Raw genomic sequence first — 21,448 nt, forward strand, 5'->3', positions numbered from 1 at the left:
TTTAGTTATTGGTCAATAAAAGCTACCTGGAGCTAGAGAGTCCTTTGTCAGAACAGTTAATTATCCATTCTAAACCAGCTCTTCTACAAGCATTTAAAAGCAATTCCTGAAGCAAAAGCAACTCGAGCCTCACTTGATCATTTTGCATGAAACCTCCCTTTAGGTTTTTCTTGAGAAAATTCGAAGGAAAGGCAGCAATCTCTTTTGCACCATCTTGTTTTGTCTTCTACCCTCGTGTGGACACGTCGTTTCTCTGCAGTCACCCCTGCTGCTAGTTTCCCTGGTGTTTCGATATAGGACTTGCAGAAGAATTGAAGGGAGTGCTGTGTTGGTATCAGCACAAGAACGGGGCAGTGCCCCTGCGGTGTGTTCTCTTTGGTATTTGCATAGGTCTGACTCTTGCCAGACAAGTGCTGATTGCTTTCCTCTTTTCTTTTCCTATAGCTCGAGAGGAGAATGTGGCCACTTTCCGAGGCTCAGAGTATCTGTGCTACGACCTGTCTCAGAACCCGATCCAGAGCAGCAGTGATGAAATCACCCTCTCCTTTAAGACCTGGCAGCGTAACGGCCTCATCCTGCACACGGGCAAGTCGGCTGACTATGTCAACCTGGCTCTGAAGGATGGTGCGGTCTCCTTGGTCATTAACCTGGGGTCCGGGGCCTTTGAGGCCATTGTGGAGCCAGTGAATGGAAAATTCAACGACAACGCCTGGCATGATGTCAAAGTGACACGCAACCTCCGGCAGGTAATGGCTGAGGGGAGAGAATTCCTGGAAGGCTCATCTTAGGTGGCTGGGTAGTAAATTTGTGAAGCAGGTGATGGGTGTGAGGTGGAGAGGGGTGGAGATTCAGGGATGGAGATGTTAACGTCTAACTTTCTCCCAGTCTTTGCAATTTCACGTGGAAAATTATTAAAATATGTTTCTCCACATACTTCAATTCTCTCTCTGTGCTTGTTATTTAAGAAAAAAAAAAACAACTCAGTTGTATAGATAATAAAAGTTGTAAGTACTTTCATTCCTTTTATTCTGCTTTCCTTTGATCATTTTCTTAATTACATTTGAATCTTATCGTATTATTGTTAAATTCAATTAGGGACTGCATTTTGTTTCTGCAGCTTCGTAGATTTTCCTCATTCTTTGAATATATGTTTTTCTTTTTAATTAAGTTAGCCATTGCCACGATGCCATAATTTTAATTCCTTCCAGAAAAAGTCTTCCTTTTCCTCTTTTAATTTACTACCCTTTCCCAACTATTTTTTTCTTTTATGTTAACCTCTAGCTTTGGAATTAATTAGCCGGGATCTTTCTGAATTCCTCTGTTTCTCTGTTCTTGATGCGGTGGTCCTACTCTATTGCCCCTGTCTCTCCCTCCGAGACTCTTCAGTTGACTGGGAGGCCTGGAAAGTGGAAGGACCCAAATAAAAAAGTCAACTTTGGAGCAGCCTTTCCTGGTTCTGTCCGTGCTTGGGAACTCCCATCGCTTGCCGATTCTAAGCAGGCACCTCCGTCAGGTGACAACATTCTCAGAAAGCCTTAGCCAAGTGAAGTTGTTTTCAATTTCATGACTAATAATAATGATAACAATAATAATACCTCATCAGCTCACATCAGTAAAAGAAAACCGTTTCCTATAAAAATCAAAGTCTGTGCTGAGACCGCCTTTTCCAGGTTGCCATTTTCACTTGGTTTTTCTATTTGCGAATCTGTTGTTAAACCCAGTTGGATGGCATCCAGGCTTTATTAACCAGAAAACACTATACTTTCTGAAGTGCTTATCAAAAAGTGCTTACCAAATTTTCTTCTGCCACATGATTGATTTAATGTCTTCTAATGTCAATGTGAAAGCGTAAGAAATGATAGGTGTCTGCCTACGTTTTCTGTTTGATAAAAGTGTAACTCCTTACGAATACTAAACAAATGGTATAGGCTGGCACACATTTGAAACACATTTCCACACTTAGGTATGTCAAGGAAGCCATCCTGTTGGGAGATTACATTTATCTCAGGTAAAAATGCCAAATGACACAAGACTTAGAGTCCCCAAGCATCTTGACATTCATGAATCTGATATTTTTGAATCATTGTTCTATGTTTTTCCTCCAAGGCCAAAGAACCCTATTGCTAATATCTTCTTTCGTCATTCCTCATCCATACTTACCCAGGAGAGAACGTCTCAACTGTCAAGAGAACCCAAATCAAATATCCATTTGCTAACACATAAGGGCTTGTTACATGAGAGCTGCAGAGACTAGACCTAAAAGTGAAATACAACCTTTTGCTAGTTTTGATTGGCAGGTACAAAATAACACGCTTTAGGCATTAATCAGTGGAGGAGAGACTTTTCATGTACTTCAGAGCACAATCAGGTCATGATTCTCACCAATTTGTTTCTCTACCTCTCTCCCACCACCCTTCCTTACCATTCTGGAATGATTCCAATTCTCCTGTGAAAGGCTCACTTTTGTTTCTACTAAAAACACTTTTCTAAAATAGTATCAGGCACACTTAAGTCCTTTAAATGGAGAGAGGATAAACCAAACTGTAATTCAAATATTGTTTGTGCTGTTTTAATCAGAGCAGCTAGAGGAAAACTACCCTGGATGTTTTTCCCGCCCCTGCCCTTCATGTTCTAAGGCCCAACTCTGCTCTGTGCCCTTGGGCAAGCCATTTGACCTTTCTCCACCACAGTCTCCATTTGCAAAATGGTGGTTACAATCTTCCGCAGCCATGTGTGGTGGCTAAATATGCAAAGCACCTTATGTTCCAGAAGGATTATGAGCTCATCCATGGTCTAGGTATAGACGTGCTGTGACGTGCACATGATCTACAGGCTGAGCTTTCTGTTTCAAAGGTGACTGCATCTGTCTGGCACCAAGGATGCAGCTAAGTGCAATTCTCTGTTCTAGACAGGGATACAGAGGCCCTACAGTATTGGGGGTATTTCTTGGCAGAGGGAGTATTAATCTTCTGTGAGAAAGTGAACCTAAAATTGAACCTCATTGAAATTCTGACTAAATTTTGCATCCAAATGCAATTTATTGAAAGAGGAAAATCTCTGAAAAGCAAAGTTGATTTTGCAAATGCAATTATTTTAATGTGAATAATATAAGATTATTATTTTGTCCATTAAAATAATATTTATAACATCTATTTGAGTTCCCTGGGATACATTTGAATGGTGGGATCTTCCTGTCTATTTCAATTAAACTATAAAGAGCTCCATAAATATTTGACAACAAACTTATAGCAGCCTTATTCATATTTTTGGTAAGATTGAATGGCTTTTATGACAAAAATTCATTGAGTAAAGTTTACCTGGGGTTTCCCGGAGTACTTATTACCAAATGGAGCAGAAGTCTCCTCATTTCTTCCTTCATGATCATCTATTCATGGTTTTGCCTTTAAGCCAGGTCAGGACCAAGGCCAGGTATTTTATTGTGGCTTACAATTAAAGGAAGGAATGTGGACTACCTGTATCTATTGCAAACTATAACTGGGATTAGGGACCAAGGTAGTGAGGAATTTGTGTGTTTGTATGTGGTAGTGGGGTGGTAATTGGTCCTTGACATTGCCTGAGTCCAAGGTCATGGCCATAACTTTCATTGCTTTACCTCTATGTGTTAACTTTTGTTAAATCACAAACACAAAACTGAGGTTACCAGTCTTCCAGTCTTCCAGAGGGTTTTTCTAATCATGTTTAACCTGCCAGTCTTCCCTGCTATCCATACAATAAATTACATAAAAGCTTGAAAAGCATTGTTCAAGAGGAATTGGGGGAGAGAGATTCCAAAGCATTCTGGCCAAGTAAACAAATTAATGACCTTATTGAGTAATAAAGAAGATTCTAATTTTTTTTGATACATTCTATTAATTCTAAACTGAAGGAAAACTGTTTCTCTCTGGTTGCACACATCCACAAAAATGAAATAGGCTGTAGATGTTTAATTATCTATGGAAACCTAGAGTACACTACATAAGGCAGACTTTCTATGCTAGGTTTGATCTGTAAATGCTTTAAGTTTTTTCCTTTTTGGGAGGATTTCATGATCATTTATCCACATTGTAGTCATAGTCAGATGTGAAAAAAGTAAACCCCAAAATATTTGTATTTCAGTTCTTTGTATCTGTTTTTCTACATGTGGAATGGTACCTGTTGGGGGGTCTTTCCTTTTGGAAGAGGTGGAATGGGTTTGTGTTAGAGGGTGGGAAGGGAGTGGGCGGTGTCCATTCAGAAAGCCCTTAGGAAGTAAGTATGGTGCTAATTCTAACGGGTGAGGTGTGGTCTGAGAGAGATTTGGAAGAAGCAGGGAGCTGCAATGGCATGTAGACTGCAGCTCCTTTTCTGGCTGTGCCCCAGGTGGCATGGTTTTCCATAGAGTCCTGGTCTCATTGTCTTCCCCCCACTCTCTTTTTCTGTGTCGGGTGCCTTTTTTTTGAGAAACTAACACAAGATCATTCATGCAATGTGTCATTTTACTAACCGACTAATGTACTAACACCCTAACGACTCATCTTTGTTTTTAGTTTTTTTAATTAACAATCGTTCTGTTCACAATTTTTAATTTCCTTTCTTCCCCCTTCTCCGCAAAGCACTCAGGCATCGGACACGCTATGGTAAACAAACTACATTGTCTGGTAGATATCATTCTTATTGTCTCTTTTTTTGGGTTTGCCGTGTGTTGCCCCCCTTTTCCTCTCCAACCCCCCCTTTTATCCTCTTTAGACTCATTTCTTCTTTTAAGATTTTGTTACATTAAATGCAAGCCTTTCTTTTTCTTAAAAAAAAAATGGAAGGGGATGCACTTGTCCTAAAAATGATATTTGGTTGAATTTTGTGGGGAAGGTTTCCTTTTCTCTAGTTTTCAATTTTTTCCCCCAAAAAATGCTTTTTTTTTTTTTTTTTAAATCTCTATTTGGCTAAATTTGTTTTCTTTTGTTTTCTTATTTTACAACTTCCAAGTTACATACTAGGGACAACAGAGATTTATAGTGAGAACTTCCTTCTTTCTGTGCCTTCCTCTCCCTCTCACTCTTCCTCTTTTCTTTTTTTCTCCTTTCCCACTCCTTAGTCCCTTTTCTCTTTCCCTTTTATATGGCCACGGCTGCCACAGGTGATCTGGGGAGGAAAGTACTCCACTTCCTAGACTCTTTCTTACCCTTCTTTTACTTTACTCCCCTACCGTGGCCAAAAGGATATCCACCAATTATGTTCTCCATACAAACTCTGCATGGCATGTTCCTGTCTCGTGAATTTTCCTACCTGCATCAGAATTTGTTTCCTCATTTTCCTCCTCATTACTAACAACCTACCAATCATCAACCCAATTTCAGTTTCTTCTCTTTTATTTTTCCCCACTCTTCATTCTCCTTTCATCTTTCATATATTTGGGGGTTGGGTTTGGACTTTTTCTTTTCTTTTCTTTTCTTTTATTTAGTAAGGGAGGTGGCAGGCAGAGAAAAGACTACCTTTTAGTTTTGAATGCTTTTTTTTCACTTCCATCTTGTTCTTCGGTTTGTTCAATGCATGTAAGTGTGAAGTGGATTTTGATTCTTTCCCTAATTTCTCCCCACCCTTTCCCAGTTTTGTTTTTCTTCTGCCTTCTCTCTTGGTTCCAGATAATTTCTGCATGGGTGTATCGGTGTATGGTGTGTGCATGCTTTGAGGCCCCATCGTTTCTCTCTGCCCTCTGCTCCTTTCATGGATGTTGGGTAAAAGGGTGCTATTTCTTTTCTGTGGGCATTATTATTTTTATTGTTTTGGTTATTATTCCTCATCATTCATTTTATTGTTGTTCTTAGAGTTGCCTTTTTGGTTTGGGTCATTTCTTCTCTTGGAGGTGGTGATGGGAGCCAAGGGAGGGTAGGGATTGGTGTCCTGGGGCAGTCCATGGCATGTATCATCCATGACCATATCAGAATCAAGACCCTTCTCCTTCCCTCCCTGAATGCATGTTTGTCAGCGTGGTGTGAGCCAAAAAATATTAATAACAATAAAGATAAAAGAAAAGAAAAAAGAAAAGAAAAGAAAAAAGGAAAAATAAAACCATCAACAACCAAAGACCAACCCCTAACAAATTTCATCATCAAATGTCTTCTTTGCTGTTTTTCACTACCACCATGAATAACAATCATGTAAGAAATAAACAATCATTTTAGCAATGAACTGAGACAAGTGATATCGTCTGAGGATGGTTCCATTTTCTAGCCTGACTGTGTAAAGATTGCAATGGGTAGAACAAGGTGCCCAGCTTGGAAATTCTAACAAAGTCATCCATGAGTCTGCAGGGAAATACTGAAGGCTTGAGACCCAGGGAGGCAGACCAGAAAATGGAACTTGGCTGCACATACCAAAATCAAATCAAATTAGAAAGTATATCTCATGAAAATCTTAATGAAAGTGATGCCACAAGTAGGGGAAGCCACTGGGTTATGATAGGATCGTAAGGTCATTGTTGGGATTTTTTTTGTCCCTATGTCCCTCCACCAGGTGACAATCTCTGTGGATGGCATTCTTACCACGACGGGCTACACTCAAGAGGACTATACCATGCTGGGCTCGGACGACTTCTTCTATGTAGGAGGAAGCCCAAGTACCGCTGACTTGCCTGGCTCCCCTGTCAGCAACAACTTCATGGGCTGCCTTAAAGAGGTAAAGTTCACCCAATTCTATTTAATGCACCATGTGATTGTTTCATTTATAAACAAATGACATGTCTAAATCAATGACTGGATCTGTCCTCAAATCTATGAGATGATAGATTGCAGCAGAAACAACCTTGAACTTGGAAGTAGGTGTCCTACGTTTTCATTCCCGCTTAAGCTGGTTGCATGACTTGGGGTTTGTCACTTTAGTACTGTATTAGTCTGTTTGCATGCTGCTGATAAAGACATACCCAAGACTGGGTAATTTATAAAGAAAAGAGGTTTAATTGATTTACAGTTCCACATATCTGGGGAGGTCTCACAATCATGGCAGAAGGCAAGGAGGAGCAAGTCACATCTTACATGGTGGCAGGGAAGAAAAACTTGTGCAGAGGAACTCCTCTTTAATAAAACCATCAGATCTTATGAGACTTATTCACTATCATGAGAACAGCATGGGAAAGACCTGACCCCATGATTTAATTACCTCCCACTGGCTTCCTCCCACTGGCTCCCTCCCACGACATGTGGGAATTGTGGGAGCTACAATTCAAGATGAAATTTGGGTGGGGACACAGCCAAACCATGTCAAGTACCCTGTAGTTCTATTTCCTCATCTAACAAATGGAAGCTCTTATCCCACAGATGGCTGTGTTTATAAATTAAATGCAGTCACACAGGTGAAAGGCCATTGAAATCACAAGGAACTAGATGAGTGCAAAGTTTGATTTTGTGATTTTGACCTGGCAAATAGGAAAGCTCTAGCTAAAAGTGGCTCAATCTGTTGTTGTGTACCCTGTCTAAAATATAACATATGTATTATTTTACCTTCACTAAGCCTGGTGTTCCCAAGGGTCTCATAGTTGAGACGGAAGAAAATTCTTATAATGTGACATTAAGGCTCAGAAGACTGGTTTTTTCCTTTGCTTCTTCTTCTTCCCTGAGAGCTAGTAGCTGTGAAAAAACAGTGGGACTTTGCCACTACTTGTTTATTACCATTGTAGCTGATGTATTGAGACCTCTTTCTGAGAGCAAAGGAGCTTCAGCCAAGTGTAAGTTCAACCTCTAAGGTCAATTGTTGAGGCAAAAAGAATCAGACTAAATTTGGTAGAGCTCTTTCAGAACACTGTGGCATCAAAGCAGTGCACTGCACATTTTAAGCTAAGCTTCATTGCCGAAGATATCTATACCATCTCCCTGGGGATGTTACTTGAGAAGCAAACAGTGTTCCTTCTTGTAGATAACAATCCCTTGTGACATCTTATGAGTCTCCTCTTGGGGCATATGTTTTATTCTTACTATGGTTATTTGAAATTTGTTGAACATCATTTGTATATGAGATGGCACTGTCCATGCATTCATTCATGCCACTGCCCTGTGAGCCTTGTCCAGGCAGGAATTGTGTCTGTTAGGCATGGCACATAGTAGATGCATAATAAGGATTTGTTTGTCTATTTATCTGATAATCATTGAGTACCTTTTTTGTGCTGTAACTAAATTTGGTGGCTCTTTTTAAGCCATGATCTCCATGCTCCAAGGCTTTGCCTTGTAGGAAGGGAGATGAGATCAGTGAGTGAATAAGTATAGCATAGGAGTACATGTGTTCAGTGGCACATACTAAATGCTCTAATTGAGTAGAGGAAACATAAATTTTAGGTGGAAGTCAGTTTTAGAGAAGGAGTGACATTTGAGGCAGTCCTTGTTGTAATAAATCATGTGCGAATTGAGAGGAAGGGGTAGAAAAGAGAGACATAATAAAGGAGAGAAAATCCAATTGTAGCTTTGTATTGTTCTCAGCCTGTAGGACAAAATAAGAGGAGCACCCAAAGAGTGCTATTATCTCTCTGCAGGATGTTACCTAGGCTTCTGCTGGCTTCAGAGATTTCATCGTCATTTCTGATGGAATTATGGTAGGCATAGAGCCCTTCCTCACTGGGATTTACTCCTATTTGGATAGAATAAAGGTATAGACTATGCACTGTCTAGTGAACCCTGAAAGACTCTTAAACACTGTTAAATCACACTACATTGGAATTGCACTCTCATCAGAAAAAGACTGCAACATTCTTGTTACCAAGGACATGGCTCAGGAATGAATGAGGCATTGGTTGCTGTGGAGTGCTCATTCAGTTTTGTAGTGCAACAGTCCTGAGCATGGAGTCTCTCCAGGACAGGATTTAGGTCTTGCCTTTAGGATTAATTTTCTCCTACACACAATTATATTGAGCTACCTCTCCATTATATACTTAGAGACAATGGAGCAATTTCCCAACCATGAATCTTCTATCTATTAATCAGGAAGGATGCCCTGAAAATTTTGAAACAAGTCTCATAAAAACACAAAGGTGTCTCTGATGACTTTATCCATGTGGAAACAAAAGAAAATAAAATACACACACACACACACACACACACACACACACATTTTTGCTGCCCAGATAGAGAGCAGAAAGCTTCAAAAGTCTGTCAGAATCATTCTGAATAGCTTAAAAGGTAAAGGCAGTTCTGAAAAACAGTGTCAATAATAGAAATAACTATAATCAGTGATGTCAATATATCCTTATCTTAGCTAGCAGCACAAATATGCATTTAAATTCAGACCAAGTTAGAAAAAGGAAAGTTCAAAACACTAACGGAAATGATAGGCAAAGCTAGAACTTGATAAACTCCTGCCCCGTCTGTTTTCCCTGTACAGCGTGATAGTCTTTCTAAGGGACTCGGAAGTCTTCTTATTTGTCTGAGTACTTTGAACAGATCACTTTGAGTCTAACGTAGTGCTGGCATATTATTTCTTTGCATTTAATAATTACACTTCACTTTTCTGTGGGCAGGTCTATGGAGATACTTCTCTTGTTCTTGGTATTTGTTTTTGATAAATCAGTAAACAGCAAAGGCTATGTTAGGATTCAGCTACCTGATAAACCCCACTCACCCACTTAAACCATAGAACAGTCTTTAATTATTTCACAATCTCTTCTTCCCCTTCCTTTTCCTCTTGCTGCCTTAAAAAAATCTTCTCTTGCCATTTGTGGCTTTAAGTTGTCCTAAATGAAACAAGGTGATTTTATGTGTAATTTTCTTCAAATTAGGGACATGGCAAAGGGCCTATGCAATTTCTGCTCCAGATCATCAATATTTCTTTGTGTGTGGCACAAAATAGGTTTTGTCTTTGGGACTGTAGTTACTTCACACCTAAAAGCTAAGTTCTGGCTCCGTGATTGTGCCAAAGGGACTGGATATTACTTGTGTGCGTACTTCCTAACTTCATACCAGTGTAAAAGCCACAACAAAGCGTCCACATTGTCGTCAAACTATGATGGTTCTCTACACACCTTAGTTATCAATATGCAGTTTGTGTCCACTTAACTATCATGAAGTCAGCATCTTGTTCCTTTTCATGTTTTCACATTTTAGTGTGTCTGTCTCATGTTTGTTCTTGTTGTATCCCCAGCTCCTAGAATGGTTCTTGGCACTTAGTGGCTCTCAGTCAATATTTGCTGAGTGAAATCACATGATTGTACATTAATAAATATCTTTCCTAAATGAATGCTTTTAGGTACTATTGACCACTTGACTTTCCTGGGATGACTAAAGAACATCTTGACATGGCAGTGGTTGAATCTTTCAAGAATCTTCTCTGCCTCCCCCTGAGCTATCAGATATGAGAAAAAGATTATATTAAAAGCCTCAGCAAGGCTAAGAGGAATGATTGGAAGTTCCTCTATGAAAAATGGGTTAGAAAAGGCTATGAGGGAGACATCATAGTATAATGAAAAGAATACTGGGCTTCAGATCAGAAAATCTGCTTAAGAATGCTAGCTTTATCACTGGCTATATAATAAGACCACTGATCTTACTCCAGTCTCAGTTTTCTAACCCATAACAAGGAGATAATAAAACTTCTGTTGCATTCTTAAGAAAAAAATGAAATGATGTACATAAAAGTGAAATCATACAGCATTGCAAAATACAATGTTTTTGCTTATAATAATTATTAAGGATTATATATTGCATTGTATAAAATAGTTTACAAATAGAAATGTAAGTGTAAGTGAATATCCATTAACACATGGAATCTCTATATTTCTCATATTAGCAAATCATTGTCAGGAAAAAAAACCCCATCATTCTGAGGTTTGCCCTACATAAATTCTATCATAATGCAAAAATAGGGATAACTCATCCCACCTGCCCTCAATGATGACTTTGTTTTTTGCCTTTGGTCATTTATTTGACACTATGTTTTCCTTTATTAAAATGTGAATTCCATGAGAACAGAGGTCCTATTTGCTTACAAATATTTCCCCAGCACCTAGAGTGGACCCTGACATTAAAAAAAATGCACTCAATAAGTATGTCTGGAATAAATAAATAAATGAATATGATAACCTCATGGAGCTCTGAAATCTGGTGGAGTTTAGATGAGCAATGTGTAAGTCCAGACAGCTATTAAAAAGTATCATAGGCTGAGTGGCTTATAAACAACAGAAATTTATTTGTCACTGTTCTGGAGGCTGGAAGTCTAAGAACAGTGTGCCAGCCTGGTCAGGTTCTGGTGAGGGCCCTCTTCTGGGTTGCAAATTGCTGTTTTCTTATTGTGTTCTCACATGGAAAAAAGAGGATAAGAGTTCTCTAGGGTCCCTTTTATAAGGGCACCAATCCCACTCATGAGGGACCTTCATGACCTGACCTTCATGACCTCCCAGAGGCCCCACCTCCTAAAACTGTCACATTGTGGGTTAGAATTTCCATAAATGAACTTTGGAGAACACAAACATTCAGTGCATAGCAAACAATATATCCCCCAAACCTATAATATGCCAAGGACTGTGCTAAAATACAAATATGAGTCAAACATGTTTCCTGCTTTAGAGGAACTCACATTAGTGGGGAGAGGCAGACACACGCATAAATGCAATAAATAGCAGTTAATGCACAACATGAGGCATTCTTAGTTACAATGTGGCTGCTGAGGAGAAGGACCTAATACATCCTGGGGTTCAGGGAGCATCCCAAGGTGAGGTGCTTGAAGCCAAGTAGAAGTGAGCATGGAAGCATGGGGAAAGAGGTGCTCCAGGATGAGGGGCAGGGTGAGCAAAGGCATGGAGGTAGAGCATGTTCTGGTGTCTGGGTGAAGAACTTACAAACAGCTTGCTAATTTCAAGGCCCAAATTATAAGACTGGGAGCTTTGGACTGGTAGCTGCGGTTAGGTAGGGACCATTTCATAGAGGCCTTTATTTCATGCTATACCCTTGGACTTTGTTCTCTAGGTAACGGGGGAGCCATTGAAGGACCTTATGCAGCAGAACATGGTCAGATTGGCATCTTACCCATCAGGCCTTCATTCTTTGAGGAGTAATGTTAATTCATCTACCACTTTCCCCTGATGTATGTTTTTGTCCTAGGAAGTTGAAGATCAGGGATAGAAATGGTGGTCCCTCGGCCGAGTGCGGTGGCTTACGCCTGTAATCCCAGAACTTTGGGAGGCCAAGGTGGGCGGATCACGAGGTCGGGAGATTGATACCGTCCTGGCTGACACGGTGAAACCCCATCTCTACTAAAAATACAAAATCAAAATTAGCTGGGCGTGGTGGCGGGCACCTGTAGTCCCAGCTACTTGAGAGGCTGAGGCAGGAGAACGGTGTGAACCCGGGAGGGGCAGCTTGCAGTGAGCCGAGATCGCACCACTGCACTCCAGCCTGGGCGACAGAGTGAGACTCCGTCTCAAAAAAAAAAAAAAAAAAAAAAAAAAAAAGAAAAGGTGGTCCCCTGAGCTTCGGCATTAGATTGGCGCCTGCCTCTCTGAATTTTAACATTACTGCAGACAACTGCTTCCTTCTGACTCCCATTTCAGTTTCCAAAAACCCTCCCTGAGAGGACATGCATTTCTCTTTTCCTCTGTCCTTGGCATTACTGAGCTGTTCAATGACAAATGAAATACAGGAAGGCCAAGCCAAGACTGAGTTACATGAGTAGGGTCCCCATCAGGCTACTCAAGCCCATCACAGTTTCCTCCCACGTGTTGGACCTTCTGTGTAGTTTGATTTGGTTATTTCCACACCATCCTCTTTTCTCCTCAATCTGACACTCCTCCATTTTCCCAAGTGGAGAAGCGAAAGTGCCACTGAGACCTCTGGGACAGACTGGACTCTCTCATCTCTCTTTTCTCATGGCATCTCTAATGGGGAGGAAGGAAAAGCAGGAGAATTGGGAGAATAGAACACATATTTAAAGGAAAAAGGATTGGATAGAACATCATTGTGCACATTACATTCCACATCCCTTTGTGATTATTAGCCATTTAAAACCGAATGGAGTTTTGCAGCCAGAGATAGTCTCTGAACAGATGATTAATGGCTTAATCTGTAATAACTTTACATTTTATAGAACCCTGATAGGCGTCCACATCTGGTGAGCCAAGCTATTTAAGGCTGTGTTAATTCTGTTAATTGCTATACGTTTATTTGAATTGCTGGCACCTGCGGGCTTTGGGATAATGTGTTTGTTGTTGCTTTTTTTCTTCTTTAAAAAAAATACTCATTTTATTTTACCCTGTCTTGCTTGCTGTCTCTTGTTGCTATCTCTCATGCTATCACTTAATTTCTTCTCTGGATTTTCTTTTGGGTTGTCCTCTTTCTTCCTTACTCATTTTCCTCCCTCTTCCCCATCTCCGTTCCGTTTTTCTCTAATTCGTTTGTTTCCCAAGCTGTTGTTTTGGTAGCCTTCCTGATTTCTCAGGTGGTGATAATGTCTCTGTCCATAAGCAGGTGAATTTAGGTCATAGCTTTGGGCCTAAATATTCCTTTTTCCTGTCATGAAGACTACTGTGCAGCGTAGGGCTAGTAAAACCCAAGTGAGGCTTTTAGAATCAACATGAGACATGAGAAGAGGGTGGGCTTCAGCAGCACAAGCCCAGGGTTTGAGTCTTGCCTAGACTCATTCCTTGCTAGTTGCATGGCTTTTAGCAAGCCGCATGACTGTTCTGAGCCTCGGTTTCTTCATCTATAAAGACAGAGACTAATACTGATTTCATGTATTTTTATGTAGGGAGCAAATGGGATTAGACAAATGGAGGTGTTTTATAAAATACAAAACACTATACAAAGGTTAATGAAGTTGTTATTTATGTTATTAATTGAAACAAAATCAATTAGTTCAGGCCAAAGAACCACTTACTGCTCTTCACCATTTCTGCAATTAAAAACCTGCAGAAGTTAGGAGAGTCCAATGTAGTTTAATTAAAAAGGCCTGATACTGGGTTCAGTTCTAATGTTAATTAGAAAATTATACAACTTCTCTGGATATCCTTGTCTTGATCTGTAAAATGAGGATAGTAATCCCTGCTAATCCAAATGCACACTACTGTAGAGACCTTCTTGTAAATGTAGCATAGAACACACATTATTGCTTTGGGTAGCAAGGTAAACATCTTGCTGTACATCTTTATTCCATTAAGGAAGATGTACGGAAAAGCACTCTGTGGGTTTGGAGATAAGAGCGTCTTGACAGAATGGGAGAACCAACACAAAAGGTGACCAGAAGAAATAAGAGTTGAGCAAGGTGGAAAGAAGTGAAGATGCAAATCAGAGGAAATGGAGGAACGTGGCAGAAGAAGAAAACAAAAAGCAATTACGGCATCTCAGGAGCTAACTATTGGCTTGTCATGGGCTGAGTGATGTCCTCTGCAAATTCATATGTTGAAGTTCTAACCTTTAGTTTGTGACTGTTTTTGAAGATAGGGCTTTTTAAGAAGTAATTGAGATCAAATGAGGTCATATGGATAGGCCCTCAAACAATATGATTGGTGTCGTTATAAGAAGGAGTGATAAGGACATGGATATACAAAGGAAAGACCATGTGAAGACAGAGGGAGAAGATAGCCATCTACAAGCTAAGAACAGAGGCTTCAGAAGAAACCAACCTTGCTGAAACCTTGAACTTGGACTTCTAGCCTCCTGGAGTGTGAGAAAATAAGTTTCGGTAAAGTCAACCAGTCTGTGGTATTTTGTTATGGCAGCTCTAGTAAATTATAGAGCTTTTTTATGGGTTGACCATAAAAAAAAGATGGCCATTTTTGGCTGGGCATGGTAGTTCACGCCCATAATTTTAGCACTTTAGGAGGCTGAGGTGGGAGGATTGCTTGAGTCCAGGAGTTGGAGACCAGCCTGGTAAACTTAAGGAGACTGTGTGTGTACAAAAAACATAAAAAAATTTAGCTGGGCATGGTGGCACACGCCTGTGGTCCCAGGTATTTTGGAGGGAGGTGGGAGGATCACTTGGACCCGGGAGGTTGAGGCTGCAGTGAGCCAAGATGGTGCCACTGCACTCTAGTCTGGGCAACAGAGCGAGACTCTGTCTCAGAAAACAAAACTGCCATTTTTTGTGTGTGAGGACAAAAAAAAAAAAAAAAAAGTCAAATATTGGCAATGTCGGGTGATTCAATTTCAGAAAGAAATGTTTGTAAAGAGGATAAATTGAATCTTCTGGAAAAGAGATGACTTTCTGGATTACAAGGAATTGAAGTGGGCAGGAAAGAGAGAGAGAAAGAAAGAGAGAAATTGGCAATGTCAGTCGATTAGAGATTCCCATTCCCCTGGCTGTGGTTGTTTTCTTTATAGGTGGACTCCTAATGCAGTTTGGACCCATAACATACAGAGGCACAGAGGAAGAAGGAGCGAAACCCTCAGCTACTGGGGACAGGGATACATTTGAGGCTTATTTCAGTAGGAACCAGGTGTGAACATTTAGCCAAGCGTGGCTGTAAAAAAGTGGTATGGGCCTAAGGAAGAGTGAGGAGCACTGAGGTCTCAAAGATCTTTGGTGTTTCGGTGCTGTGACAGACAGAGAGTAGTTCTTCAGTTAGTGCCACAATAAAATTACTAAAGAAGGATTTGCTGCTTACAGTTGATGGGTTGTTGATGAAGAAGTAGATTTATATATATATATATATATATATTTGGCAACTGGGTATTCATTCTGCCTTCATCTGATACATGTTTCTTGATTTTTATTCCCCTCATTCTCAATCCAATGATTCAGTGGCACCTGCTCCACTCCCAGCTCCGTTAGTGAGCATGTGATCCCTAAATCAATTAGAGACTCCTAATTAGAGACTCCTATTCACCTGGTCATGGTTTCTTTCTTCATAGGTGAGCTCCTAAACCAATTTGGATCCATAACATACAGGCTCAGAAGTTTTGTCTATATGTTGTAGGGAAACAGCTCTCTCCTGCTTTGGGCTAGAACTTGGAGTGGTGTTAAACTAAGCTTCTGGCCACTATCTTGCCACCATAGTGACCAAAAAGGAAGCCAGGATAGAGAAAATCAGAGCCAAAAGATGGGAAGAAACTAGGCCTTAGTGACATTTTTGAAGGCCCTGGTTTAAACAGTTTTCAAATTAGACTACCCCTTAATTTCCACTTATGGTTGAATAATGTACCTCTGTTGCCTAAACCTGTTGTGGCTCTATTTTCTATCATTTGCAGCAGGAAGCCCTAGGTGATGTAGCAGAATTCCTCATGTTCCTATTTTACTCCTGTTTTTTGCTAACAAAAAGATAGGTCCTTGGACAGGGAAAGACAGACAAAAGTAGGAAATGTAATACTGGAGGATCTTAGAAATCAGATAATTTGCTCTGTATTAATTCAAATTTCCTGCCTCAGATGAATGCTATCCCAGGATACAGAGAGAATTTGTAAATACAATTTTTGAAACCTAGTTGGTGGTTTTTGAGGAACGCTAGTGAATAAAGAAGGTTCCTAAAGACTAGACAATTGAAAAATGTAGATAATGCAAACAATGAACTTATGAGTTGAACTGAAATCTGGATAACATTTTGGAGTGCAATATTAACAGAATGTATGAGCCCATAGCAGAGAAAAGAGTGATCAATATAACTGCCATCACTAATTAAGAGCACTAAGAAAAAGCTATATCATATCAACCAAATTCACATACTCATTCAGTAGTATTACCGATGATTCAGAAAAGTACTATGGACCTCATCTAGCTAAATAGCAGCAAAGTTTTTGAAGACACATTTTGTGATATTCTCATTAATAAGATGAGCAATAGGGTTTAGATGCAAGAGCTATCAAGCTATTAAAATACCAATGGGCCCTGATTAAGTGGATTTTTTTGGCCTATATGAAAGTTTTTGTAAGATGGCACAAAGCTCTGTCTTATATTAAGGACTTGAAGAGACATAAGAGAACATGGCTTGTTAACTTTGTGGATGGCAGGGACAGAAAATGGTAGAAATTGTGCATCTGTGTTATCTGAGGTTGAATTAATAGAGGTCTGACCTGTGCAACAAAGGAGGTAACAGTTCTGCAGTATAATTTATTGGTTAAGAAAGCAGGCTCTGGAGTTAGAGTTTCTGGCTGCAAAGCCTAACTCTACTCCCAGTAGCTGTATGATGCTGGATAACATACCTAACCTTCTGTTACTTATTAAATGGGAACAATAATTATACCTACTTGATAGGGCTGTTGTATTGAGATCATGCATGTAAAATAGCTGACATGTAGAAAATGTTCAGCAAATGTTATTTATTTTTTTTCTGAGACAGTTTTTTTTTTTTTTTCTGAGACAGTGTCTTGCTCTGTCGTCCAGGCTGGAGTGCAGTGGTGCAATCTCGGCTCACTGCACCCTCCACCAATTCTCATGCCTCAGTCTCCGAAGTAGCTGGGATTACAGGCATGTGCCACCACACCCAGCTAATTTTTGTATTTTTAGTAGAGAAGGGGTTTCACCATGTTGGCCAGGCTCATCTCAAACTCCTTCAAGCGATCCATCCACCTCGGCCTCCCAAAGTGCTGGGATTACAGGCATAAGCCACTGCGCCAGGCCCAGAATAAGCTTTTAACATGACAACTAATTGACAGATTAGAATATCTTTAGAGCTGAGCTGTAAAAAAAAAAATACCCAAAAAACTAAGGCATTCAAGATCCTAACAACGTTAAGAAGGCTTAACTAATAGAACCAGGGTCATTTAACCTGAGAAAGTGAAGATGCCTGTGCCCAAGGTTTGAGAGTCGTCTTCATACATGAAGGACTGTCCTATGGAAGTGGAAGAAAATGTGGCCCATATATCCTTAAGAAGAGAAACTAAGTCTAGTGAGTGGAAGCTGGGTACTTAACATAAGGAAGAACTTTCAGTAAGAGCTGTCCAAAACTGCCTTCAAAGTAATGAGTTCTCCAACACTCAAGGCATCCAAGTAGAGACTGGGCAACCATTTTGCTGAGGTTATCGAGGGGATTCTGGAATCATATGAGTGGTTTTGATTTTATAGATAGATCTATAGATAGATTGATTTTATATGATAGATCTATAGTTCTACGATGAATGACCTATCTGCAAAGAAAGAATAAGGCTAACTGATTAGCTCAGGTTCATCATGTGGAAGACTTTCCTCATTAATCTCCAAATCAGTTGGCTTTACATGTCCCACAAACATTTATTGGGTTGCCCTTGTGGTAAGAGTTGAGGTTCCCAGCCACTATCATCACCTATTACTCACTTACAAGAATTTATCTTTACTCAGTCCTTTACTTGATCATCTCGAAAACCGTTACAACCACAGCAATTATAATCATAGCAGCAACAATAAAGACTAGCAATTATTGAACACTTAATGTGAACACATGTGAAATGTGTGTCTACATGGTGCTATGTACTTCAGACTTATTCCCTACTTATTTCCTAATTTAGTTCTCACAAAAAAGCTTATGAGCTGGATTCTATGATCATTACTAACTTGAATTTAAAGAGAGCGAGTGTCTTTCCCACTTACATCATTCTAAGTGTTGGAGTTGAGATGTAAATACTGTCAACATCCTGATTTTGCTGCCCTTTCTACCAATTCAGTCATAAGAGTTAGTGACGAAGAAAAGGAAGCTCCTCTGGAAAAGGTTGGTGATTCTGTGTTTAAACTTACTGTAAGGAATTGTCTCTCACTACCGCTTAGAGTCTCTACTTCATAGGAAAGGTCATTTAATCAGGCAAAAATGTTCTGTTGGGAGACTAGATACAATTACCTATTTCTTTCACCTTGCCATTGATTGTTCTGAGAGGAAGGCAGTTTTTGCTTGATTTCCCACTTTGGGCAAATTGATATTGCTCAACCTGCTAACGGAGGAATGATTTTCATTATGGTACCTGAGAGGGAAGATGCTGCTCTTAGTATAAATGCCAAGCAGTGCAATAGTTTCGTCTTGAGATGGGCAGCACATTGTTTCTTTTTGTTCCAGCCTAATATTTTCCATGAAGTTGGAGCTATTTGCCTTTAATGCCTTCAAAACACCCAAATAAGGAGCAGCTACTATTTAGACTTATTATGAATTTTCAGTCTGATTTTGGGAATCACTTACTTAGCTTTGCATTTTTTTTTCTTTTTTGCTCGTCAAGATAAATTCAGTGGAACTCATTGCTTTCTAAAAATGTCACTTATTTACAGCAAATGTAATCTACCACAACATTCCTACTGAGACAAAATCTCTTGTGTCTTTGAAAGCCTCAAAGGAGATTAAAAAAACACTAGTCCTTGTACACATATACCTACAGGGATAAAGCAATCATTGAGCTAATTAATTAGCTTATGTTTTCAAAAATTGTTTTGCAAATGCAGAAACGACTATTCCATTAGTGTTGCGGTGCTTTTGTAACCTTGTGTTCTGTTCCTCATGTGGAGAGTGTGCCACAAATAGTTCCTGCATAGATTTCAAGAGAGATACAAGGACACATTTTTCACTTCTCAAATCAGTGAAGATGCAGCTTAGGGCAGCAACACTGCACACCAATTATCAACCAATAAAATTCTCCTCCTTCCCTCTCCCTTAGCTTTTCCCTCACCACCCAATATCAGCAGATGTTCTATCTCATACTTTGTAGGGAAAATAGAAATTGTTCAGGTAATGCTTGCTAAGCTTCTCTCTCTCCACCTTAAGACTTACCTTCAAAGATTCTCATTGCTACCTTCTTCCCCTCATCTTACAGAATGAACTTTCCCCTCCTCTCTTGCCTCTTTTGAGATTTAGCCCCTTTAAAGATTCCCTCTCTTAATCTTCGATCTCCCATTCTCCTCTGCTCCATCCCTTCAGCTAGAGACATACTCAAAATCACTTCTTTGATACTGTCTCCTGCTCAATTTACACCTAAGCTCATTCCCCACTTTCAATGAAAAAGTTCTTGGGAGAATGGTACATATTTCTGATGTCCCCTACTTCATGGTTACTCTTTAACCCTCTACATTTGCATGTCAGACTCTGAACTCTAGGATCCTTAGCACTTTAGTGGAATTGTTTTCTTGTTTTACCCTGCTTAAGTTAGAAGTACTTTATTATATGCTCCTATAGCTCTCAGTTCAAAACTTCAATGCATTGCAATTGTTATTATAGTCCTCATCACATTGCACTTTAACATGCACTGTGTTCATATGTTTCCTCAATAGACTGAGCTTCTAAGAGACAAGAACAAAGATTTATGTAGATTGCATATTCCCTCTGAAGTTAAACATAGGTCCTGACACATGAATAGATGGGAAATATTCTTCAATAAATTAATAAGTATTTGTGAACATCAGTGATAGAATTATTGTTCCAAAGTTCCAATTTCTGCTTATATTCATTTTGTCAACAGCATGCCACTCATTTACTTATTCATGAATGCAGTAAATATTCATGGAATGCCTACTCTGTCATAAAATCTGTTCAAAGAGTGGGAGTGTGTGGTGAATGACAGCATGTATAAAGTCTATGACCCTATGGAATTCACATTACGGTTGAAGGAGACTAAGAATAAATGCAAAACAGATAATTCAGATACTTTCAGATAATGATAAGTGGCATGAAGGAAATGAAAGAGAATAATGGGTGTATTAGTCCATTCTCACACTGCTAATAAAGATATACCTGAGACTGGGTAATTTATAAAGGAAACAGGTTTCATTGACTCACAATTCAGCATGGCTGAGGAGGCCTCAGGAAACTTACCATCGTGGTGGAAGGGGAAGCAAACATGTCCTTCTTAACATGGCAGCAGCAAGGAGAAGTGCCAAGCAAAGGAGGGAAAAAGCCCCTTATAAAACCATCAGATCTTGTGAGAACTTACTTAGTATCATGAGAACAGCATAAGGGTAACCACCGTCATGATTCAATTACCTCCCACCGGGTTCCTCTCATGACACGTGGGGATTATGGGAACTACAATTCAAGGTGAGACTTGGGTGGGGACACAGCCAAACTGAATCAATGAGATAGTGAGTTGGTCTCCAGGAGCCTGAGTGGTCAGGGCAGGACTCTTTGAGGATGCAATAATTGAGACCTGAGATGAAAGTAGCACTCAGTTACACACACAAAACCTTGGGGAGAGGCCATTCCAATCCAAGGAAGCTACTAGGACAAAAAGGACCTAAAGCAAGGAAAGCTTGGCACATTCAAGAAAAGTCCAGGAGGCGATGGTGGCCATGGCTCAGTGAGAGAGGTGGTGAGAGGAAAGAAATATCTAGGGCTGGATATGTTGCTTTTCTGAAAAGATCCAGGCTAGGCAATGTCAATTTATCAAGCTTATCTCTGCCTCAGAGTCTTCATTTTCCTTTTATCCCATATCTAGGTTGATTTTCTCTTTTTCTTTATCCTCGAAAGTGAGGTGTCCCTCTATCTTTGTAAGCTCACATGTTACTGTGCTCAGTCAGCATCTCCTTCTCTCCCTTTCAACTTCCGAATTACTCAGTTATTCTCATTCTTTCTTGCAGTATATATCTATATATTTTTTCTTTTAAAAATTGTGGTAAAAAAACACAT

The 21,448-nt window shown here is 39.8% G+C and overlaps 1 protein-coding gene across 52 annotated transcripts in view, besides 1 other annotated feature; it reads left to right on the forward strand.

The window, feature by feature from the left end:
- The window catches only part of NRXN3 (neurexin 3), a 1,697,919-nt gene that overhangs the window by 474,303 nt on the left and 1,202,168 nt on the right, over positions 1-21,448 (forward strand). For 35 of the 52 annotated variants that reach the window (NR_158973.1, NR_158975.1, NR_158974.1 and 32 more), the window contains 2 exons: positions 445-746; positions 6,490-6,651. Coding sequence is in view for 46 of the 52 variants with exons in the window: in XM_011537366.2 (XP_011535668.1) it covers positions 445-746; positions 6,490-6,651 (464 nt within the window). In the remaining 6 variants the exon portion in view is untranslated. Of the gene's footprint in view, positions 1-444; positions 747-4,592; positions 4,617-6,489; positions 6,652-21,448 lie in introns of all 52 variants that reach the window. The other 17 variants (XR_001750609.1, XM_011537363.2, XM_011537368.2 and 14 more) reach the window with 1 other exon arrangement.
- Positions 329-498: an enhancer, noted in NCBI's record as "experimental_36943 CRE fragment used in MPRA reporter constructs". NCBI's record gives its function as "activates a minimal promoter by MPRAs in K562 erythroleukemia cells, with activity observed for the introgressed 14:79111432 variant allele {active_cell/tissue: K562}" and the evidence as "EXISTENCE:reporter gene assay evidence [ECO:0000049][PMID:34662402]".

Source organism: Homo sapiens, chromosome 14 (genome assembly GCF_000001405.40).
Source record: "Homo sapiens chromosome 14, GRCh38.p14 Primary Assembly".
Taxonomy (NCBI): domain Eukaryota; kingdom Metazoa; phylum Chordata; class Mammalia; order Primates; family Hominidae; genus Homo; species Homo sapiens.